Here is a 25,472-nt window from a genome sequence, read left to right on the forward strand (position 1 = left end):
CGGGCGAATCATGAGGTCAAGAGAACAAGACCACCCTGGCCAACATAATGAAACTCCATGTCTACTAAAAATACAAAAATTAGCTGGGTGTGATGGCACACACCTGTAGTCCCAGCTACTTGGGAGGCTGAGGCAGAAGAATCACCTGAACCCGGGAGGCAGAAGTTGCACTGAGCCAAGATCACACCACTGCACTCCAGCCTGGCAACAGAGTGAGACTCTGTCTCCAAAAAAAAAAAAAAACCTAGAATTTATTTTGTCAGGAATCTGACATTTGGCATCAAATGACCCAAGTTGCATTCATCCTGTGCTTCGAGGTCTCAATTTGATCTGGCTTTTCAAATCCTCATTTATTCTGTTTCTTATTTGAATATGTTTATTTCTCTCCAAGCTCTCACTTGAATCAAAAGTTGTAAGATACAAGGTAGGTACATTTTCTCCGCTCTAGGATTGAAGGTCTCACATAACCCTTACAACAGGCCTCGGGAAGGAGGCCAGTGGAAGAAGAGCTGTTCACCAGCGAGGACCGCCCCTTGTCCGTTTGAAAGGAGAAGGCACTGGATTACTCTGTGCCCTGGGGGAGACCTAATGTGTCAGCAAACCACAGGTAAGGATTTCATTGACAGAAGATTAAAGATTGAGCTCAGCTCTCTAAGCCTGACTCCTGTGTTGCTAACAGAGAGCATGGAGGGAAATGGCTTGCCCATCCAAATGTGTAGCACTTGGTGAAATTTCCTGGGTTCCCAGGTGTTTCCACTAATCAAGGAGGCGGGGACAGCAGACACCAACTCACTGTAGGAAAAGTAGATGACTTTATAAAGTGCCTTCCTAAGAGTAAAGACCCAGACCACAGCCAGTCTCCCAGCTATCCTTGATTGAAGGTTCACAAAGTGCCAAGCTCTGTGCTAAGGAGTTTCCAAACCTTACCTCAATCATCATTCCAAATGAAAAGATAAGTACTATTATTGATCGCTAATTTGTAGATGAGAAAACTGACACTCAGAGAGAGGAATCAACTTGCTTAATGTTATACAGCAAACAGGTTCTAAGAGCTTCCCCGATCTGTCCGAATTCAAAGTCCAGGAATTTAATCACTACAAAATGCCACTCCTCATACATGAGAAATGTTGATTACTCAAGAAAAGACTTCACAACATTAGCTCAGCAGAAAGGTTGGGCTCACCAGCCCCTCTCCATATATACAACTTCGGGGGAGGCACTGAGGTTCTGCCTGGCACTGGTATGGGCACAGCTAACACTTGACTCTTCTTTAGACTCAAGTGGCTGCCTTGGGGGCTGCTTTGCTGAGAATAATAGCTGTCAATCAATTATGTGCAAGAAGGACACCGCTGTGATCACCTACTGTTGATAGGTACAGAAGGGAGGGGGAGAGAGAAAGTTTGTTGAGGTGCACATATATACCTTATATAACCTTCATAACATAGAAAGGAGGGGCCGGAGGCTCAGTAAGGTAAATGACTTGAAATTGTCACATAGCTAGCTAGTAAAAAGTAAAGAAAGGATTTAACCTAGGATTATCAATCTCCAAAGTAAGAGACTGCTTCTCCCCATGAGACAGAGTAGGGGCCCCCCTAAGGGGCCAACTGAGCCTCTCCAACATGGAAATAAAAGAAAATCTTGAGTTTCTTCGAGGGAAATTCTAGGTACCTCACTAGCCTTAAGAAGTAAGTGAGCAATTTGATAAGCAAGAAGGTGACTGTAGCTTAAAACAATGACCATCCAAATAAGTTAGAGCCATGAGATGTTTGGTTCCCTATGGAAACTAAAGATAATATCTTCACCTAAGTCTCCGACTTGTTTTTCACACCTGAACCCCTACCAGATGGAAAACGCCAACTGCTGTCACACAGACTTCAGATAAGGGGAAACTGAGGACTGAATTCTGACCACTGCTTCTTGTTCTAAATTTCTTCCTAGGCAGCCTGGAGAAAGTCATGCCAACAAGCCAGAACTTAGCATTCCTTTCTGTTAACCCCAAGTTTTTAGATGAAACTTCACTTCCTTCACCAATCGCAAATCGGAGGATTTTTGAATCCACCTATTATCTGTAAGCACCCACTTCAATGGATAACCTCCATGTATTAATTTATTATTTTTGCCTGTAACTTCTGCTTTTCTGAAACTTACCTCTGCCTTCAAAAATTCTTACTTGTGGCCAGGCACGGTGGCTCATGCCTGTAATCCCAGCACTTTGGAAGGCTGAGGTGGGTGGTTCACTTGAGCCCAGGAGTTCAAAACCAGGCTGAGCAATGTGGCAAAGCTCCATCTCTACTAAAAATGCAAAAATTAGCCAAGTGTGGTGGCACACGACTGTAATCTTAGCTACTTGAGAGGCTGAGGCATGAGAATTGCTTGAATCCAGGAGGCAGAGTTTGCAGTGAACAGAGATCATGCCACTGCACTCCAGCCTGGGCAACAGAGCAAGACTCTGTCTCAAAAAATTACAAAAAAAAAACCTTGCTTGTAAGCTATCGGGGAGGTCAGATCTTGGGCATGAGCTACCCAATTGTCCTTGCTTGGAGCCCTGCAAATAAATGTCCTCCCTTATCTTGCTGTAAAACCTCAGTGTGAATGTTTGGCTTTACTGTACTGGGCTAATGGAACCTAGTTAGATTCAGTAACACCCAGAGTGGATGAGATACCTTTTCAAGGTTCTTCTGAACCATATGATCATGCAACTTCAGGAGAAATTCAGATGCTAAAAAGAATTTGAAATTACAGTGCCTAGGAAAAGGTAGGTACTCCTCATTAATTAAATGTCATATTCCCTTCCCTCTCTGTTAGGATAGCCTTTTTGTATATAATACTGATTGTATTTGTACTAGTTAAAAATACTGACGGAAATACAATCAGTGAAAGGGTTCTGAGATTCTTTTTCCTTAGAGTCATGAAGCAAAAGAGGCAACGGAAGTTGATTTGGACCCTACTATGATCAAACATTGTATGAAATACAGGTTAGTGACTAAAGCAGACATCAACCCCACCTATTCTAGCTAGTGATCTGGAAGAAGCCAGACACTCAGATTTCTTCCGCCTTAATCTCTCACCAACAATTTATATAGAAGCCTTATTGAGTCTTCCTTCTAAATCTCTTCCCAAACATCCTCTCCTCTATCATAATTCAAGCATGCATCATCTAGACTTTGGCCATCTATGTCCTCCCTGCCTCTAGTCTTGCCCCCTGCCATTTACCAGCTTCTCAAGGTTACAGCCAGAAGGCTATTTCTAAAATGCAAATTGGGTCATGTCACTCCTTTGCTCAAAATTATTTCATGAAGAATGAAGTGAAAACTGAAAGTTTCTTAAAACAAAAAAAATGTATATCTACCTCATAACCCAGTAGGTCTAAGTATTTTTACCAAATTGTGGTATATTTATAGCATAGCATATGACTCAACATTTTAGAAAAGCTGAAAACATAACAGTATGGATTATGGGTACCAGATTTAGCAAATAAAATAAAAATTTTGCATGAAACCTACTTTTGCTAAAAAATTATTTGGAGTTTATCTGAAATTCAAATTTAACTGGGAATCCTATATTTTATCTGGAAAACTTAACATGGATAAATCTTCAAAATATTATGCTAAGCAAATGAAGTCAGACACAGAAGAGTAGATCCTAAATGATTCCTTTTGTATGAAGTTCATGGGCAGGAAAAAGTCATACTTACTGATAGAAATTAGAGCAGTGGATGCCTCTGGGAAGTGAGGATTGAGTGGAGGGAGACTAAGGGGCATTTCTAGGGTAATGAAAATGTTGGTGGGGAGGGTGTATACACAGGTATATACATTTAATAAAACTTGTCAACTTGTACTCTTTATTTTGCCTCAATGTTTAAAACTCGTAAAATAACCCCACACTATCCTCAATGGATTCTCAACCCCTGAACTTTTGAATATAGTACACTGTTTCTTCCTTATCTTGCCATTCTTATGCATAGGTCTTCCTCTCCTCCCATTATCCTTAGTGAGTCCTTCTGACCAAGTATGATGAAACCCTTACTCATCACTTCAGCCTACCCCTGGCTCTACCTTCTGTAAGCTGAAGACTTGCTAGAGAGGTTTAGACCTCCCTCTCTTCTCCGGTCCCTGGTACCTTGCAACCCACCTCCATGACAGCACTATCCCATTGCATTATTGTCATTGTTTGTGCTACACTAAACTGTAAGTTCCTCATTAAGGCAGGGACCTTTCTTCTTTGTGTTAATGCAGTACAATGCAAGGCACCTAGCAACCATCCATGAATGAACAAAACAATCACTCACTCCAACTTCTCTGCTTAATACCCTACCTAGAAGCTCCAAATGTTCATTTAATTTTTATTTCAAATACAATATTAAGTACATATGCACTTATATTTAAAAAGTAGAATGGTCAGAAGAGAATGAAGGACAAATCTTCTGTATACCTTATTCGCACAGTTACCTTTACCAGAAGCAACCACTATTTAAATTTTCTTCTATACCATTCCAGAAAATTTCTATGCACAGCTAGCATCTTTTGTGTGTGCATATATGTACATATTTATATATTTCTCCTATTTACATAAAGAGGAGATACTGTGCTACTTCTTTTCTATTTTCCACTCTCCATTCCCGGTCTATTTTAGGTCCTATTCTTTGTCCCCAGAAATGACCCCTACATACCTTATACTCCTTGCTGGCTAGTTTCCATTTGAGGTTGTCCAGTGAGAGAATGAAAGGGGGTTGGAGAGTGAGAGGAGAGAGAAACTTGGGTATCTCCTCTTCCCCACTTTAGCTGCATGCTCCTGGTAGTAGCTGCATCCCTTCACAACTTCAGCTTGTGTGCGGGATCTACTTCAGTCTCTAGCACCTTCAGCACCTTTGGCCCCAGGGATGTGCCTTAGATTAGGTTCCCTGGAAACAAACTGAGATGGAGAGGTGTGTGCAGATAGCTTATTGAAGGGTGCTTTATTTTAGTAAGGAAAGGAGGAAAGCAGGATTGGCTGGGAGGAGAAGCTAACCTGAAATGCAGTTCAATGAGGCCTCAGCTGATGCTACAGGGAACTTCTGGATGGCCCTTCAGAATTGTCCCAAATTGAGACAAGGGGGTGGGCTTTCATATCCCTGAATTGGACAGTCATTGGCCATGGCCACCCCAAGCAAAAGTGCAACCTGGGCAAGACTGTCCCCTGTGGTGGCTGAGGGAATTCTAGAGAGGGGTCAGCTGTGAGCAAACAACAGCTGATATTCTCAGCCCTTGTGGATGCTGTGTCAGCCCTGAAAAGGAGATCAGGTGGAGCAGCACAGTGTCCACTGTGATAATGGCTTCCCACTGGTGCTAGTGTCTGAGTGTCTTAACGTGCCCTGCCCACACTTCCGTTCATTGTCCATTGATGAAAGCTCAACATTTGAACCATCTGGGGCAAATTCTGTTTCCTGATGGGATCCTGACTGATACACACACACACACACACACACACACACATACGCACACACACACACTGTTTCACTTAATAGATCCTGAAGCACACTCTATAATAGCGCATCTCAGTGTCTCTTATTCTGTCTATTGGCTGCATGGCAGTTCAGTATCAATATAATATATCTTTATTAAGCCTTCTAGTCTTAGACATTGAGGTTGTTCCCAGCTTCAGTCTTATAAACAATGCTGTGATAAGCATTTGTGTTCATCTTTGCACACATCTAAAAAATTGGTATAAATTTATTTTTTGTGGGTTTTTTGTTGTTATTGTTTGTTTGTTTGAGACAGAGTCTCACTCAGTCACCCAGGCTGGAATGCAGTGACATGATCTCAGCTCACCACAACATCCACTTCCCCAGCTCAAGTGATCCTTTTACCTCAGCCTCTTTGGTAGCTGGGACTATAGGCATGTGCCACCAGGCCTGGCTAATTTTTAAATTTTTTGTAGAGATGGGGTTTTACCATGTTGGCCAGGCTGGTCTTGAACACATGGGCTGAAGCCATCCACCTGCCTCAGCCTCCCAAAGTGCTGGGAAGTAAAAATTCTTCATATTGCGACTACTGCATCAAAGGGTATATACATTCAGATTTCGGTAGATATTGCCAAATTGTCTATGAATAATTTACTCTGACACCTGTCATCATGGCATGTGAGAGTGACTGTATCACCACATATTTCCCAAAAGTGTGTTCACCACTTAGAGCAACCTGTTTGATTTAAGAGCTCCCAAGCACACACTTCTACCACTCCACATGCCTCCTTTGGAAATACACTTATTGCCGGATTGGAGGAAGACCACTCATAGATGATGTGTGACCTCACCACCCATTTTCCCCACAGTCATTTTGCCTTTCCTTCATGTAGACTATTACATGATACTTGGCCCTCAGAGGTAATTAATGGAGTAATTTCTATCTGTCCTCTCTTCTGTCTGAGTTCAAGATGGCTTTATAATTCCATGAAATGTCTACAAATAGCAAACCAGAAGTTAACCTGGAATAATGAAATCTGTCATATATAAATGCAATGCACCTTACTGTGTAATCAGTAATCAGGCCAGTGCCTCACATTCAGCAGACTCTGCTGACACTGAATGTGTGTGTGCTGCTTGAGAATACTAGCAAATACTCCTTGATAACCTTTTTGAAGCCATTGTAACATCTTAAGGGAAAAACATGAGCTTTCAGAAAAAAAATTAGGTTTATTAATTCTGTCAGCTCAGTTCCAAATTTCCCCTTAATACCCTCCCATTTATGCATAACACAGAGACATGTTTCATTTGCTTTGACTAGGAATATTAGCTTGTGAATTACACTCTCTAAAATTAAGTTCTGGAATGTTCTTGGAAATGGAAGAGAAGTTAGATAATTTCAGAAACACAAAATGAAAGGCCACCTATTGGGTTACATTGTAACTTTATCTAATCCTTTAATCTCTTAATTTTAAAAAGAGCTACACTGGATTTTAATAGAAGTAAATGTCATCCAGTAAAATCTGATAGGCTTGTCACCTCCCTTAAAACTTTGAGCCATAACCTGAGAAAAACAGAGCATCTGCAAGGGTCAAAAGAGGAGAGAGCTCAGGCTGGACTCCATGGCTTCCAGACACCAAGGCAGATCAAGCAGCCCCAGGTTGTTGATATATCACACTGAAGACTAAATACCATCCTTTCTTCCCTTCCTGTTATAAGGAAGACATCACACAGAAAAGCAGCTCTAGCCAAGAACAATAGGACTGAGCTAGCCAGTAGAACTGGACTCAGTGGGAACAACAGGAGACAGGTGGTCAGAAGTCCTGGGTGTGCATCCCAGCTCCATGCCCTAAGACAATTCCTCAGCCACTGGAATCTTCAGTTTTCTCCTTCATAAAATAGTGATTTCATCATCTGCCTGGCCTACATCACACTGTTGTTATGAGGATCAGATGAGATGATGAATAATAAAGCACTTTATAAACCAGGCAGTGCTGTAAAATCAAAGGAGGTGATACTTTATAACCTCATCCACAGCAACTGCCACCCAGTAGGTCCAACCAGAATGCCTTGCCCCAACTTACTGCACAGGTGGAGAGGACTTTCATAAGGAAGATGGCTAGGGATCACCCTTTAGTCAGACAGATGTTTCAAGTTATTTTTCCAGAACTGTGCATGTGACTCATCCACTTTCTCTCAAGGTAATTGCCATAGGAGAGTATCAAGAATGATCAAAGCCAGGAATTCATTTTTGGCCATGAGACAAACCAAAACAAATAAATCTCACATAGGGATGGAAACAGAAATTTTGGGCAAATGAGCATCATGCTCAATCATCTTTATGTTTTCAACAGAGTTTATGTTTTCATCATACACAAGAATAAACTACTTAAGAATTATTTGTATAGATGATTTCCAATCACTTTCCCCCAATTCTCTGTTGAACCCATTCTAATGAGACATTTGTGTGCTGGCTACTCCTGCAAACTACTTATCAAGATCACCAAATGATCTCCACGCTGTTGAAGCCAGTGATCAGTGTGCAGCCCTTACCTTACTTGATCCATCAGCATCATTTAACACAGCTCATCACTTCCTCTTTCTTGAATCACTTTCTTCACTTGGCTGTAGAGACATTATTCTCTCCTTTTCCTCCTATCTTACTGACTTGGTCCCTTTCAGTCTCTTTTGTTGATTTCATGGAATTCTGACACTTGGTCCTTGCCTCTCTTCACTCACTCCCTAGGTACCTCATCCAGACTTGTAGTTTTAAATACCTTCTATATGCCTGATGATTCCCAAGTAGACAGACAGCAACCCTGAACTCCATGCTCGTACATCTTGCTTAACATCTCCACTTGGATGTATAGTAGCTATCTCAAACTTAACATAGACACCCCAGGGCTCTTATTTCACAATCTGTATAACTTTTCCCATCTCAGCAAATGGCAACTCCATTCTTTTGGTTGCTGAAGCCAAAAGCCTTGGGATAATTTTTGCCTTTCTCCTTCATACCCCATACCAAACTTAATAAGTCTTGTTGACTCTACCTTGAAGTATATCCAGAATCTGGTTACATATCACCATCACTAATCTATTCCAAGTTACCTTTATCTCCCAAATGAATCACTGTAATGGCTTCCTACCTTATCTCTCTGCTTTTCCCCCTTGTGTTCCTATAGTTCATTCTCAACAAAACAACCAGAAGGATTCTCTTAAAACATTAATCAGGGTCAGCCATGGTTGCTCATGCCTATAATCCCAGCACTTTGGGATGCTGGGGCAGGAGGATCGCTTGAGATAAGTAGTTCAAGACTAGCCTGGGCAACATAGTGAGACCTAATCTGTACAAAAAATAAAATAAAATGAAAAGCCAGGCATGGCGGTGCCCATCTGTAATTCCAGCTACTCCAGGCTGAGGTGAGAGGATCACTTGAGCCCACGAGGTAAAGGTTGCAGTGAGCTGCGATTGCACTACTGCACTAAAGCCTGGGCGACAGAGTGAGACCCTGTCTGAAAAAAAAAATCCGATCTATCACTTTTCTTCCTTCTTTCCTTCCTGCCTGCCTTCCTTTCTTCTTTCCTTTATTCCTCCCTCTCTCCCATCCAGTCTCTCCGCTCCCTGTCTCTCATCACTGGATTGGTCTCAACCTCATTTAATGCAAAAGCCAACATCCTTATAGTGGCCTATAAGGCTCTGTATGATGCCTGTAAGTTCCTTCATTCTCTGATCTCCTCTCTTTCTCATTCACTTTACTCCACCCATCACAGCTAAGCATATTCCTGCCTCAGTGCCTTGGAACTCTGTTGCTCTACCTAGTATCAGGGAACCTGCCCCCGATAGTCATGTAGGTTCTTTTCTATTTTCCCTAATCATTGGCTGGGTTGAGAAATAAAGGGACAGAGTACAAAAGAGAGAAATTTTAAAGCTGGGCGTCCAGGGGAGACATCACATGTCAGTAGGTTCCATGATGCCCCACAAGCCACAAAACCAGCAAGTTTTTATTAGTGATTTTCAAAGGGAAGGGAGTGTACAAATAGGGTGTGGGCCACAGAGATCACGTGCTTCACAAGGTAATAGAATATCACAAGGCAAATGGAGGCAGGGCGAGATCACAGGACCACAGGACGGGGCAAAATTAAAATTGCTAATGAAGTTTCGGGCATGCATTGTCATTGATAACATCTTATCAGGAGACAGGGTTTGAGAGCAGACAACCGGTGTGACCAAAAATTTATTAGGTGGGAATTTCCTCATCCTAATAAGCCTGGGAGCGCTATGGGAGTCTGGGGCTTATTTCATCCCTACAGCTCGACCATAAAAGACGGCCACACCCAAGGGGGCCATTTTCGAGGCCCACCCTCAGGGACGCATTCTCTTTCTCAGGGATGTTCCTTGCTGAGAAAAAGAATTCAGCAATATTTCTCCCATTTGCTTTTGAAAGAAGAGAAATATGGCTCTGTTCCACCTGGCTCACCGGTGCTCAGAATTTAAGGTTATCTCTCTTGTTCCCTGAACATTGCTGTTATCCTGTTCTTTTTTCAAGGTGCCCAGATTTCATATTGTTCAAACACACATGCTCTACAAATAATTTGTGCAGTTAGCACAATCATCACAGGGTCCTGAGGCGACATACATCCTCCTCAGCTTACGAGATGACAGGATTAAGGGATTAAAGTAAAGACAGGCATAGGAAATCACAAGGGTATTGATTGGGGAAGTGATAAGTGTCCATGAAATCTTCACAATTTATGTTCAGAGATTGCAGTAAAGACAGGCATAAAAAATTATAAAAGTATTAATTTGGGGAACTAATAAATGTCCATGAGATCTTCACAATCCATGTCTTCTGCCATGGCTTCAGCCGGTCCCTCCTTTCGGGGTCCTTGACTTCCTGCAACAACCTAGAATTCTATTTCCTTAGCTAGCCATGTAGCTTGCTTTCTCATTTGCATCATGACTCTACTCAAATGTCAACTCCTCAGTGAAAAACCTCCCTGTCAATTATATCTTTAAAAACATCCCCATATCCTAGCCTGCTCATCCCTCTTACTCTTTCTGTCCATTGTATGTATATATGTATGCACACACACACACAGATCTATTTGTTTTTTATCTCTCTGCCTTATATAAAATCTAAGTGTCTTAAGGCCACTATGTGGCTGGCACATGGTGGGTGTTCAGTTATTTCAATATAAATAACATGCAGGTACACTTAAGTATCAAATTTTCAAAATAAAAATAGCTGGCATATCACATGACTTTCGGCCTAGAATTCATAAATTTTAAATTATGTTTTGCACTATTTGTCTAGGTTTTAGATGCAGAGAGAACATCGCCTAACAGTTTCTGACATTGCGGGTCTGGTTGTGATGTGAGCAATGTGATTTGAAGGAGACATCTTACAAGGGATTTCTGTGAAATAGTGAATTTAAAAGACTTGACCAAAAATTCCCATGCTCTCAGCAGATTTTCCTGTTTCCTTTTAGAAACTATCATAAGGGAGCTGATTTAAAAGCTAAGTTATTTAATACATAGGACATCTAGCTAGTTGTTTAGGAAAAAACAATAAGCTTGATCCCTAGCTCACTGCTTACACTAACACAAATTTTAGGTGGATGGAAGTTTTATGTGTAAGAAATGAATCTGCAAGACGACACAATGGTGATTTCTTTCTTTCTCTCAAAACCCAGATTATGCTCACATGCGTGGTAATCATTTGCTTTAGGCCCCGCCCAAGTCTCAGGATTAAATCTTTTTTAAAAATTTTTTTGAGACTGGGTCTCACTCTGTTGCCCAGGCTGGAGTGCAATGTTGCAGTTATAGTTCACTGCAACCTCCAACTCCTGAGTTCAAGCGATCCTGCCACCTCAGCCTCTTGCATAGCTGAAACTATAGTGCATGCAACCACACCCAGCTAATTTTTAATTTTTTAAGTAGAGATGGGGTCTCACTATGTTGCCCTGGCTGGCTTCAAACTCCTAAGCTCAAGAGAGCCTCCCATCTCAGCCTCCCAATGTGCTAGAATTACAGGCATGAGCTACCACGCTCAGCCAGTTAAATCTTTATTAGTCATTCTTGCCAATTTCATCTCCAATGCAGTGACTAAACTGGAAATGGTCATGCAGCATGATTTGGACCCAAGTCCAGCCATGGGCCTTCTGAGAATGCTTTTCCACTTTGTCCAAAGATGAAGTCTGAGGAGAAGCCTTCATTTTCTATTTTTATGGTTGTCCGCATATGACACTTAGAACAGTGGCAGCCCTTGGAGGCCATGAGGACAGCCAGCCTAAGAGGATAAACTACTATACTTATGATTATAAAACAAAAAGATGAAAACAACTTAAGTCCTTGATGACAATGTTTTGTCACAAAATTAACTATGCTGGAATTTTCCTAGCTCCAGACTTTTTGCTATGCAAGATAATAAATATTCTTAATATACATCCTTATAATTTTTAATGTTAGTATTCTCTAGTCTGTAACCAAAAATATCCTGATACATTTAAAAAATAATTTGAAGTTGAGAAGGCCTTCCTAAGCATGGAACAAAACTCATAAGGCATAAATGGGAAGTATTTATAAAATTCACTCCATACTATGTAAACTTTGTATTATAATTACAAAAATAAGCAAATAAGTAAAAATATTAGCTATTATCTAAGCTACTATCTAAATTACACAAATAACTCATAGCTACTAAGTTACTATCTAAGCTACTAAGTTATACAAATTTATATTTTAAATCAATTTGAGAAAACATGATAAAAATGAGTTAAACATAAAAATAAAAAAAAGCTTTAACATGGCAAAAGATGTGATAAATAAAAAGACAAATGAAAAAATGGGAAAAACCAATTTCAACTTATAGTACAGACAAACAAGGGGTAAATATCCCTAATATAGAATAGAAAGGGTTTCTGAAAATAGGGAAAAAACAGGCAAACTGTCCTGTAGAAAAAGAGAATTTGCAAATAAAGGAATACAAGTATCCCTTAAATGCGTAAAAAGATATTCAGTCTCACTCATAATAGGAGAAACACAAATTAAAAGTGCACAAATAAACACAAGTATCGAATTGGTGACTTAGTCACACGGAGAGAAACCATTTCAAGGGACTATAACATAGTTGGCTCACACATCTAGAATAGGTTATTCTAGAGACAAAAAGAACTAGAAAACAGTTTTCAGTTATCATATTATTAGTAATAATTATAATTTACTGTTATTTTGAAAATGTTATACAAATAGTAGGATAAAGCAAATACTTACATTACTGTCATTCGAAAATCAAGATTTTTAGCAACAGAGAAGAATTTAAATACAAAATCAATGAAGTTAGATAAAAAATATGTGATCATTGATTTAAATTAGAGTTGTCAGTATTAACTCATGATGCATTTTTGGCTTACAAAACAAAAATACCAATTTTGCAGAAGCAATCTCCAACCCAGTAGCAATGAGTATCTCTAGTACCCACATTACTAATAGTCTAAAAACTATCCCCAAAGCCTCCTTGGAGGAATAGCTAATTCCAGATCTGGGGCAAAAAAATATCCAGGATGATCCTAAAATATCTTATCCTATTGGGAAGTAAAGAAACTATCAAGGACTACTGACCTTCTGCGGACTTCGGACTCAGGAGTCAATTTGGTAGAAAATTTGAGCATCAGACAACAACAACAACAAAACTGCCATTGCTGAAATTCTCCCTCCTCCAAAATTTAAAATCCATGAGTTCATAATAATATTTGCCCTCAAGGGAGGGAAAGACTCATTCATTGGTCAACTCAGAATCAACTAGGTTGATTTCATATCTTGGCTATTGTAGATAACGTTGCAATAAACATGAAGGTGCAGATGTCTCTGATATAATGAATTCCTTTCCTCTGGATAAATTCTCAGTAGTGGGATTACTGAAACATATGGCAGTTCTATTTGCAGTTTTTTGAGGAACCTCCATACTGTTCTCCATAGTGGCTGTACTAGTTTACATTCCCACAAACAGTGTATAAGAGTTCCCTTTTCTCTGCATACTTGCCAGCATTTGTTATGCTTTGTCTTTTTGATAATAGCCATCCTAATTGGGGAAGATGATACCTTACTGCCGTTTTGACTTGCATTTTCCTGAGATTAGTGATGTTGAGCATTTTTTCATATTTATTGGCCACTTGTATGTCTTGTTTTTTTAATTTAATTTTTATTTTTTTAAGAGATGGGGTCTCACTTTGTTGCCCAGACTGGAGTTCAGTGGTATGATTATAGATCATTGCAGCCTTGAACTCCTGCCCAAGCAACCATGTGCCTATGCTCCTGGCAAGAGTAGCAGCACTGTGGCCTCAATCCTAGTGAGCTAGTCTCCAGGTCAGCCAACCCACTGTGTATACACATAAGCCCTTGGCCTGTAAAACAGCCTGGTGAGCCCAACACCAACAACACTGCTGCCACAACCTCTCTCAGCCTTGGCCACTGAGAAATTTTTAAATGCCACTAGTGTGGATTGTAGCTGAAGAAACTACACAAAGACTACACTGCTAAATCTACCTAGAACAAAGGCCAACATATCCCACCAAACTGATACCCCACGACCCATTCATACAAATAAATATTTCCTGACAAATTCTGGTTATTATATTATATTATATTAGCTATTATAGACAGGATTTGCCTTCTTGATTTCTTTTTTGACTAGTTTGTTGTTCATGTATAGAAATACTACTGATTTTTGTATGTTAATTTTGTATCCTGCAAATTTACTGAATTCATTTGTCAGTTCTAAGAGCTTTTTGGTAGTCTTTGGCTTTTTCTACATACAAGAGCATGTCATCTGCAAACAGGGAAAAGTTTACTTCTTTCTTTCCAATTTGGATGTGTTTTATTTCTTTCTTGCTTAATTGTTCTGTCTAGGACTTACAGTACTATGTTGAATAAGAGTGGTGAGAGTGGACATCCTTGTTTTGTTCCAGTTCTTAGAGGAAAACCTTTCAGCTTTCCCCTGTTCAGTAAGATGTTAGATGTGGGTTTGTCATATATGACCTTTCCTTCTATGCCTAATTCATTGAGAGTTTTTATCACTTTGGGATTTTTGTTTGACCATTTGATCAAATGCTTTTTCTGCATCTATTGAGATGATCCTATCATTTTTATCCTTTATTCATTGATGTGATGTATGATGTTTATTGACTTGCATATATTAAACCATCCTTATATTCCTGGGATAAATCTCACTTGATTTTGACATATTATCTTTTTAATGTGTTGTTGGATTAGGTTTCCAAGTATTTTGTTGAAGATTTTTGCATCCATATTTATTAAAGATATTGGCCTGCAGTTTTCTTTTTTTGTTGCTGTTCTGTTCTTACCTGGTTTGGGTATCAGGGTAATGCTGGCCTCATAGAATGAGTTAGAAAAAATTCCCTTTGCTTCAGTTCTTTGAGATAGTTTGAGAAGAATTGGTATTAATTCTTGTTTAAAGATTCGAGATAATTCAGGGGTGAAGCCATCTGTCTTAGACTCTTCTCTTTTGGAAGACTTTTTTTTTTTTTTTTTTTTTTTTTTTTGAGACAGAGTCTTACTCTGTCACCCAGGCTGGAGTGCAGTGGCCCGATCTTGGCTCATTGCAACCTCTGCAATGAGGTTGCAGTGATTCTCCTGCCTCAGCCTCCCAAGTAGCTGGGACTACAAGTACATGCCACCATGCCCAGCTGATTTTTGTATTTATAGTAAAGACAGGTTGTTGGCCAGGCTGGTCTTGAACTCCTTACCTCAGACGATCCACCCACCTCGGCCTCCCAAAGTGCTAGGACTACTGGAATGAGCCACCATGCCCAGGCTGTTGGAAGACATTTTATTACTGATTCAATCTTATTAATTGTTATTGTTCTACTCAGGTTTTCTATTTCTTTTTGTTCAATCTTGGTAGGTTGTATGTGTACAGGAATTTATCCATTTCCTCTAGATTTTTAGATTTAGTGGCATATAGTTGTTCAAGATATTTTCTAATGATCCTGTATATTTCTGTGGCATCCATTTTGATGTCTCCTTTTCTTTATCTGATTTTATTTATTTGTGTTCTTTTTTTTTTTTCTTAGTCTAACTAATGACTTGTTGGTTTTGTTTATCTTTTCAAAAACAACAGCTTTTTGTTTTGTTGATGTTTTGTGGGGATGTTTTTTCTCGATTTCATTTATTTCTGCTCTGATCTTTATTATTTCTTTCCTTCTACTAATTCAGGGTTTGGATTGTTCTTGCTTTTCTAGTTCCTTGAGGTGCATCTTTAGGTTGTTTATTTGAATCTTTCTAGTTTTTTAAATAGGTATTGATTGCAGTAAACTTGCCTCTTAATACTGCTTTTGCTGTGTCCCATAGGTTTGGGTGTGTTGTGTTTTTTATTTTCATAGTTTTAAGAAATTTTTTTATATTTCATTCTTAATTTTTTTCTTCACCCATTGGTCATTCAGGAGCATGTTGTTTAATTTTCATGTATTTGTATAGTTTCAAATGTTTCTTTTCTTATTGATGTCTAGTTTTATTCTATTGTGGTCACATAAGATACTAGATATGATTTGTTTTTTTTAATTCAGACTTGTTTTGTGTACTAACACATAGTCAATACTGGAGAATGTCCCATGTGCTTATGAAAAGAATGTGTATCCTGCAGGTGTCAGGTAAAATGCTTTGTAAATATCTGTTAGGTTCATTTGGTCTATGGTGCAGCTTAACTTCAGTGTTTCTTTGTTGATTTTCTGTCTAGATTATCTCTCACAATGATGAGAGTGAGATGTTGAAGTCACCAACTATTACTGTATATGGATCTCTGTTTTACTTTAGATCTAATAATATTAGCTTTATATATCTAGGTGCTCCAGGGTTGGGTAAATATTTACAATTGTTATATTCTCTTGCTAATTGGTCCCTTTACTATTATCTAATGTCTTTGTCTTTTTTTGCAGCTTTTAACTTGAAATCTGTTTTGTCTAATACCAGTATAGCTATTCCTGTTCACTTTTGGTTTCCATTTGCATGGAATACCATTTTCCATCCCTTCACTTTCCGTCTATGTGTGCATTTACAGGTGAGGTGAAATTCTTATAGGCAACATATAGTTGAGTCTTGTTTCTGAAATCCATTTAGCCGTCTATATCTTTTAAATAGGGAATTTAATCCATTTACATTCAAGATTATTATTGATAGGCAAGAATCTAGCTCTTGCCATTTTATTGTTTTTTGGTTCTTTTGTATATTCATTGTTCCTTACTTTCTTTCTCATTGCTTATTTTTGTAGGTGGGTGGCTTTCTGTAGTGATAAGGTTTGATTCCTTTTTCTTTCTCCTTTGTGTATTGGCTCTGCCAGTGAGTTTTATAGTTTTCATGATAGTGGTTTTACTTCCAGATGTCAGACTCCCTTGAGCATTTCTTGTAAGACTAATTGATCTAGTGGTGATGAATTCCCTTAGTTTTTGCTTATCTGCAAAAGATTTTATTTCTTCTTCATTTCTGAAGGATAGTTTTGCTGGGTGTGATATTCCTGGCTGGCACTTTTTTTCTTCTAGCATTTCAAATATATCATCCCATTCTCTCCTGGCCTGTAAGGTTTCTGTTGAGGAATCTGCTATTAGTCTAATAGGCATTTCTTTATATGTGACTTGATGCTTTTCTCTTGCTACTTTTAAAATTCTTTCTCTGTCTTTGACTTTAGACAATCTGACTCTAGTGTGCCTCAGAGAGAACCTTTTGGGTTGAATCTTTCTTCTTTGAACTTCCTGGACCTGGATGTCCATATCTCTCCCAAGACTTGGGAAGTTCTCTGCTATTATTTCATTAAATATATTTTTCTCAACTTTTCCATGCTCTTCTCCTTCTGGAATGCCCATTATACAAATATTTGTTCACTTAATGGTGTCTCATAAATCCTGCAGCCTTTCTTCATTCTTTTTTCTTTTTTCTTCTTTTATTTCTGTCTGCCTGTGTTATTTCAAATAATCTGTCTTCAAGTTTAAAAATTATTTCTTTTGCTTGGTCTAGTCTGCTGTTGAAGCTGTCAGTTGTACCTTTTATTTCTTTTTTGAATTCTTCAGCTCTAAGATTTCTGTCTGGTTCTTTTTTATAATATCTCTTTGTGGAATTTCTTATTCAAATCATGAATTGCTTTCCTGATTTCATCGAATTGTCTATCTGTATTCTTTTGTATCTCACTGTGTTTCCTTAAGATTATTATTTTGAATTCTTTTCTGACATTTTTATATATTTCCTCTTGATTGGAGTCTGTAACTGGGGAATTCTTGTTTTTATTTGGAGATGACATGTTTCCTTGCTTTTTCATGGTTGATGTGTTCTTGTGTTAATTTCTATGCATCTAGTGGAAAAGTCACCTCTTCCAATTTTAAGAATTAGGTTTTGTCAGGAAAAATTTATTTGTATGAATGGGTCTTGGGATATCATTTTGGTGGGATATGTTGGCCTTTGTTCTAGGTAGATTTAACAGTGTAGTCTTTGTGTAGTTTCTTCAGCTACAATCCACACTAGTGGCATTTAAAAATTTCTCAGTGGCCAAGGCTGAGAGAGGTTGTGGCAGCAGTGTTATTGGTGTTGGGCTCACCAGGCTGTTTCACAGGCCAAGGGCTTATGCGTATTCACAGTGGGTTGGCCAACTTGGGGACTGGCTCACTAGGATTGAGGCCACAGTGCTGCTACTCTTGCCAGGAGCATAGGCACATGGTTGCTTGGCCAGGCTGGGGGTGTGCCTACCCGGAGAAGCTTGTAGAGTTGTTTCTCAGGTCCAGAATGCAGGCAGACAGCTGCTTGGTCAGTCTGGGGACATATGTGTTAGGGGCAGCCCTTAGGGCTATTTCTCAGGTCTAGGATGTGGTAACACAGCTTCTCAGCTGACCTGAGTGCATGACTGCTGGAGGTGACCCAGGGGGCTATTTCTCTGTCTTAGAACACAGACATAAAGCTGCTTGGTCAGCCTAGAAGCATATCTGCTGTGGGTGGCCCACAAGGCTATTTTTCAGGTCCAAAAATGAGCACGTGGCTGCCAACCTGGCCTGGGGACTTGTTTGTCAGGGGAGCCACGAGGCTGATTCTCAGACTCATGCAGGTTGCTGCATGACTGCTTGGCTAACCTGGTGGTATTTCTGCAGGGAATAGCCCACCAGCACTGTTGTGTAGGTCCAGGATGCAAGCACAGGCATGAGGCTGTGCCCACCAGAAGCGGCCCATGGAGCTGTTTCTCAAGCCCAGTACATGGATGAACAGTTGCTTGGCTAGCCTGGAGGCATGCCCACCAGGAGTGACCTGCAGGACTGTTTCTCAGGCCCTTGTTGGGGATGCAGGGCCATTGGACAGTCCAGAGGCTTGTCTGTGGAGGGCAAGGTTGCTACAGGGCTGTTTCCAGATCCTGGACGCATTTCCACTCCACTGGCCCAGAGGCATATCAGCTGCTTGGAGGCTTAGGGACCACTTCTGCTTAGGATAGGGTATGCAGCAGTTTGGCCAGCTCAAGGGAGGGAGTCACCCTGGGTGGGACTGCCAGACCATTTTTTGGCTGGAGGTGCAGCAGTAGAGGTTGGTTTATTGGCTGTGCAGGACCAGAGTCACAGCTGATTATGGGCTCTGGCTCCACACTGCTGGTGTTGTGGCATTCAGTCATCTGTGCGGACTTGTGGAATGAAGCTGGAGCGCCAGTGCTGGAGAGGTGCAGTGGCTGCTCGCCCCTAGAGCAGGGTACATTCAAGGGGTGACTTTGATCTCAAGATGGCACTGTGCTGAGCAGCTTGGTTCACAGAGGCTCGAGGGTAGATAGGGAGTACACACCTTGTGCTCCTAATCTGGGGCAATGCAGCTGAGTGAATCCCCAGCAGCTCTCCAAACTGGGCTCAGGACTTGTGAGGACTGCAGAATTTTCCTGTTGTAAGGACTGTAGCTGTCTGCAGTATCAATGAGGGCTGGTGAGGATCTTCTACTTCCTTTCCCATGCAACAGGAAGTCCCTCCTATCTCTGGGCCAATCTGATCTAGGTGGAGGAGACAGGGCTGCAGACACCAGGTACCTCCACACTGCCCTCCTAGACTTCCAATCACCACAGGTGTATCTCCACTGTCCCTCTGTACTCCAGCACTCTCCCTTCAACACTGCAGTCAAATTTTAGCTGTGTATTTCTTTCCTTGGTTCTTTCATGTGGGGTGAAAGAGTGCCAGGCTTCTCCAGTTAGCCATCTTGCTCCCCTAAATCCATTCTTTTGGGAATCTTAATGTGAGTCAGACATGACTGAACTCCACTGGGCCAATGCTGAAGGACCATCCCAGCTCCAGAATTTCCCACAGGAGCTGAAGCTTCTGTTACAACTGCACTGCCATCTAACTTATTCTGATCAGCTCTGGGGCACCAATGAGCTCAAAGAGTACAGGAACCTTGTCTATCTTGCTCATTATATCCTTGGTACCTGGGAGAGTACCTAACACATACTAGGGGCTCACTTAAGAAGTGTTGGATGAATAAGAAATGAAGTACCTCAACCTGTCAGGAAAGAGCCAGACCCCAAATGTCCTAAGATAAGAAGGCATCTTTGTGGTATCTTGACAGTCGAGCAGCCAGTCTTGCCAACACCTTTAGAACTTAAACAGGACGAGACATGGTTTGTGAAGTACCTGTAACAATACTGGGCACATAAAAGGCCTTCAAGAAAGGTGTCTCCCTCCCTCTCTGCTCTGATGACCCTGTGTACTTGGCATTATCTCACCATGTTGGGATTTCGGTTGTCCTCAGTTTCCTGGTGGGAAAGAGACTATGAAACAGAGTTTGCATGCAGGAAGTTTATTAGGGAGTGCTTTCCAGAAAAATGGCTGCTCCGTTGTTGCTAGGGTTCTAAAGTCATTTGGGCTGCCCTTGGCAATGCCCTATTATAGCTGTAGATATTCAGCAGTTTTCAGATTTAAGCTGGAGGAATCACAACTTGCTTTATCACATCAGGAACTTTTCCAGGAAGAAAAAATAATTATATCTTTGTGGCTATGTAGTTTTAGGGTGACCTATCACAGGAAAGCACTTGACCACGGTTAATTATTATGTATTGAAAACATGTTGCTTACCAAAGATTTTAGAATATCTTTTTTTATTAAAAACTGATTAAATTTAAATTTATTTTTTCTTTTTGCAAGGAGAAAGAATAAAAGTAAATGACTCATTAGGACAAGGAATGCATGCAGCAAAAAAACAACTAATGCGGCTGAGCTCCACTAGGAATAGAATCCCAGGAGACCTGGCAAGAAATTGCACTCCCTCAAGAGTAAGTCTCAAAGGCTGGAAAGCAGTGAGGTAAGGGCCCTGAGCCGAAGCCAATTAGTACTCGGTAAACAAATCGGATCATTTTGCTTTCTGCCTAATTTCAGGCCCACCTTCGGAGCAGCTCAGATGAGAGTTCTTAAGAGAAGAAAAAGTTCAAATTCCCATAGCAATTCAATTTACAAAGTGGCTTCTATTTGATTTGTGGAGGAACGGCCTGTGTTTTGTTTTGTGTGAAAGCTTCTGAATGGCAATTCCAAAAAAATGTGCTGAGTCATGAATCCCTAGGGAAAGAAGATTTTGACAAGAACAGGCAAAAGCTGCGACAATTATGTGATTAGGAATAACAGAGGCTCATTATTCTTCCAAATGAAGCCCTTTAATGCAAACATTAACCCTACACCTGTTCCCGGAACACTTGATGCCTCCCTCAGGTACAGAGAAGCAATACATTTAAGAATGACAACGACAAAAATAATAGCTAATATTTTATTGGACATCTACTACATATCAGGTATATATATTGGGAATCTTATTTAATTCCCACAATAGCCCTATGATGTGTTTTATAAATGAGGAAACTGAGGCTCTGAGAGGCTAAATAATTCGCTCACAGTCACCTGGCCACAGGGACTGAGATAGGCAATCTGGTTGTGGAATCACAACCTTAACAAGTATGTACACTGCAGTCCCAAGTATTATCCATGTATTCATAGAGCTCTGATCATTTTAACTGAGTGCGATTAAACTCCTTCCTCAAAGAGGGATTTTACTGACATCCTTCATATACAATTGACTATATAGCAGACGGTCCCAAGATATTTTTTTCTTTTTGAGATGGGGTCTCATTCTGTCACCAAGACTGAAGTGTAGTGGTGCAATCTTGGCTCACTGCAGCCTCCAACTCCTGGGTTCAAGTGACTCTCCTGCCTCAGTCACCTGAGTAGCCGGGATTACAGGCATGTGCTACCACACCTGGCTAATTTTTGTATTTTTAGTTGAGATGGGGTTTCACCATGTTGACCGGGCTGGTCTCCAAATTCTGGCCTCGAGTGATCCACCCACTCAGTCTCTCAAATTGCTGGAATTACAGATATAAGCCACTGTACCCCGCCCAAGATTGTTACTAATGAAGGAGAAAGTGCATGGCACTGCTAATGTAAATCATGTATTTTATGTGTTCAATATAATATTCCTTCTAAGTAAAAGAGAAAATGAGATGTCCTTTGTTTCAAAATGGAGCTCCCCTTTATGTCCTGGAACATCCTGAGTTAGGATAATTCTATACCAACTGCTAAGCACCGAGGCTACCTAAGGTCACTGGACTGGTTGGCTGGCGTAAATGTTTGGTCATGACCTCCCAGTACTGGAACTCCTGGTTCTTGGGAACTGTTCCTCATGAGCCCTTTAAAGGTCGGTGGCTGAACCTTCTTCCCTGCTGACATGATTACCCTACAGAAAATTTTCTCTGTTCACTAAAGGATTGGCTTTAGAGCAACCCTCCTGGCCAGGGCTAATTTCTGAACCATGTTAGAAATTAAAGGGTTTACTTTAATTTCTACAAAGAGAAAAATTTTGCATTTTGATTTTGGAAATTACTTATGCTTTTATAATATGTTGTCCATAGTATTATGACAATTATGTTTTAGATCATAAAATGAGGGTCATAATCTCCATCTCACAAGGTTATTATGAGGGTTAAACAACATAAGCTTGAAACATATTAAGAATTCTATAAATTATTATTAAGAACTAAGACCTGCAGAGTACTCTTTACCACAAGAGGTAAAGCTGATAAACTAGCTTTTTGGAAGGCAATGGTAAAAGTAGCTAAGCATTTTGAATATGCTTTTGTCCAATAACCATGTTCCAGAGTCTGAATTATGCCAGGTAATTTATAGTTTTACATTCAAGTGACATGTCACTATAATTGGGTGGAGAACTAAGAGGAGAAAAAGCAACCAAACTGATGCAAAACAAAGAAAAATATTTTATTGTAACTTAAAATTCATCCCCTAGACAACAGATAACGCCCACATTGGATGTTATTTAGCAGACATAGTGAAGATGCCTTTGGACAATTATCAGCATTGATGAATATGAAGATGTCACATCAAAGTCAAACTTTTTCAGGTTATTGGGTTTCCTGAACATAACTGGCAAAAAGGAACTTTCAACACAACAAGTAGTTTAGTTTTTTTTTTTTTTATGTCACTTATTTTATTTACTAACCTTGACAGGGACTAAAGAATGAGGTACAGAAAACTTTCCAGAAGTCTGAGTGTGGTGTAGAAGTCCAAGACAACTTGGAGCTCCATTATTGCATTATTAAGTAGAATGAACTGTTATGAAATTCTCCATATTCCAGGTTTACTACATAGAAAAGTACTATTTACCTACCTCACAGAGGTATTGTGAGGATTTGTGTTTATAAAGTGCTTCAGGCGCCTTCGAAGAAAGGCAACATACAAGTATAAAATAATCATACAAATTTCAAAATAAATGAAAAGATGATTTTGGCACAATGGGAAGGGTGCCTCCTATTTAAAGAACACTTGGCTATTGGTTTATAAAATCCCCTGACCTCTTGGGTTTTAAAAAAATTATTATTTAAAAGAATAAATGTTTTTCCATTGCCAATCTTATAAAAATTCTCAATCCAGGCTGTGTTATCAGAATCACTTGAAGAGCTCAGTAAAATTATAGATGTTTGGGCAACAGCCTACACCAGCAGAATTAAAAGTTCTATGTGTGATACCCAGGTACCTATATTTTCAAAAAGATCTATAGGGAATTCTGATGCATACCAAAGTTTAAAACCCATTTCTTTAGAAAAAAAATCAATGTATTAAACATTGGAGTTTATCCCAAGGACATTTTTCTTAAGGTTAAATGCAACTGCATAAGGGTATTAATTTCTTATTGCCCTTTTCCATTCCCATATCCCATGCAGACTTAGAGCATGCATAGCACACACACACACACACACACACACTCACGTTTAATTCTGCCCTTGAATTATATTTGATAGTGGTAAAATCTGATAGTAGCAAATAAATGCTTCACTGGGAGGATATGCAAGAACTTGCAGCCCATCCCCACTGTGCCCAAAGCAAATGGATGTTTCCCATTTGCCAGAACGGAATGATTGAGAAATGTGTTTCCAATTTGGAAACAGGTAAAATTAGCACTTCCCAGGAAACATCAGCTGAGTGGATGGCCAAGAAGCAAAAGTGAGCAAGGTTGGAGTGGTCAACCATGAAGAAAGTCTACAGTGACTACTTCTCCATTTGGAGTTCACCCACATCTCAGCAAATACCTTAGGAACTGAAACAGTTGCTCAGTGGGTACCAAACAACATGCGAGTACTTCAGTGAGGTAAATAGAATAATGAAAACTGGTGACTGTAGGTTAAAATATATTTTTTTAAAAAATGACCAATTTGCTCCACTGCAATTCTTAAGGCTGTTTTAGTCGCCACTTTAATTTCCTGGCTGGCTTGAAGTCTTCTGTTTACTAGCAAGTCAAACATAGAGAAGAGAATGATTTATTTCCTAGTGGGCTTCACACATATCTTATCATGATGCTTGCATCACTTTTAAAATAGGAGCAGTCTCTCTAGGTGCCTTGCAGTGGATTAAATGGAGTCGGCAGAGAAATTATACTTCTTTACACAGAGAAAGCCTTCTGAGGCTGGTCAAACTTTTTACAATGTTAAGAACTAGTGAATAACAGCAAAACAGAATAGTCCCATTGATGGTGTGGGGAGGAGAAATAGAAAAAAATACGAGATAGAGGCTACGCATACACTACATAAAAAATAGGATATATAAAAAAAAATAATTCATTCAGAGTCAGTCATTGTGAAATTTTGCTATGAGAAAATAGTCTTGACTCTAGAAAATTTGCTTGAGAATCTGTTAAAATATCGTTGCTATATGGTATAAAATAGCAAAAATAGTGTCTTCCAATATTCTTCTAAACATTAGAGGCAACTTTGTACAAGAAAGTTGTTGGAGCTGGCTTGGGGAGTTGCTTGTTGCATGTATCCCAAGAGGGCAAGGCTGCCAGCAGCAGAATAAAACCTCCCAGCAGGACGCAGAAGCCACTAAAATAAAATGCAATATCATAGGTCTGGGTCCAGTCATAAAACCAACCTGAAAAGGCAGTAAGAAAAAAAGTAAGTTTCATGGAAATAGTATGAACATCCATCCCATACCCTAATTATATCAGTTTTATATATAGTTATAATTAGTATATATATTACTCCACTACTTCCAGCGTGGTTTACTGGGAGTTAGAAGAAGAGAATCTCTCAAATATTTGGATAAGAATAAGCAGGCAGGCTGGGTGCGGTGGCTCACGCCTGTAAACCCAGCACTTTGGGAGGCCGAGGCGGGCGGATCACGAGGTCAGGAGATGGAGACCATCCTGGCTAACACGGTGAAACCCCGTCTCTACTAAACAACAACAACAAAAAACATTAGCCGGGCGTGGTGGCAGGTGCCTTTAGTCCCAGCTACTCAGGAGGCTGAGGCAGGAGAATGGCATGAACCCAGAAGGCGGAGCTTGCGGTGAGCCGAGATCACGCAATTGCACTCCAGCCTGGGCGACAGTGCAAAACTCCGTCTCAAAAAAAAAAAAAAAAAAAAGCAGGCATTTTGAGTTTCTCCCAAATAAAGAGCGAACACAAATCCCAGAGCATGCATATTCGCTTTCTCAATTATATCAAAGCAGTCTTGAATAAAT

General features: G+C 40.0%; 1 protein-coding gene and 1 long non-coding RNA gene across 15 annotated transcripts in view; one reads left to right on the plus strand and one right to left on the minus strand.

Annotated features, from left to right (window-relative positions):
- The first annotated feature begins 1,299 nt into the window (after positions 1–1,299).
- Positions 1,300–20,708, plus strand: LOC105378319 (uncharacterized). The gene is made up of 3 exons (XR_945991.3): positions 1,300–1,372; positions 1,939–2,068; positions 20,600–20,708. It is a non-coding gene; the product is annotated as an uncharacterized LOC105378319 (long non-coding RNA).
- A 1,985-nt stretch (positions 20,709–22,693) lies between these two features.
- Positions 22,694–25,472, minus strand: part of SLC16A9 (solute carrier family 16 member 9) — a 59,316-nt gene continuing 56,537 nt past the window's right edge. For all 14 annotated transcript variants that reach the window (NM_001323977.1, NM_001323979.2, NM_001323980.2 and 11 more), the window contains one exon: positions 22,694–24,880. In NM_001323977.1, the coding sequence (NP_001310906.1) occupies positions 24,702–24,880 (179 nt within the window). In that variant the 3' untranslated portion in view covers positions 22,694–24,701. The remainder of the gene's footprint in view (positions 24,881–25,472) is intronic.

Source organism: Homo sapiens, chromosome 10 (genome assembly GCF_000001405.40).
Source record: "Homo sapiens chromosome 10, GRCh38.p14 Primary Assembly".
Lineage (NCBI taxonomy): Eukaryota > Metazoa > Chordata > Mammalia > Primates > Hominidae > Homo > Homo sapiens.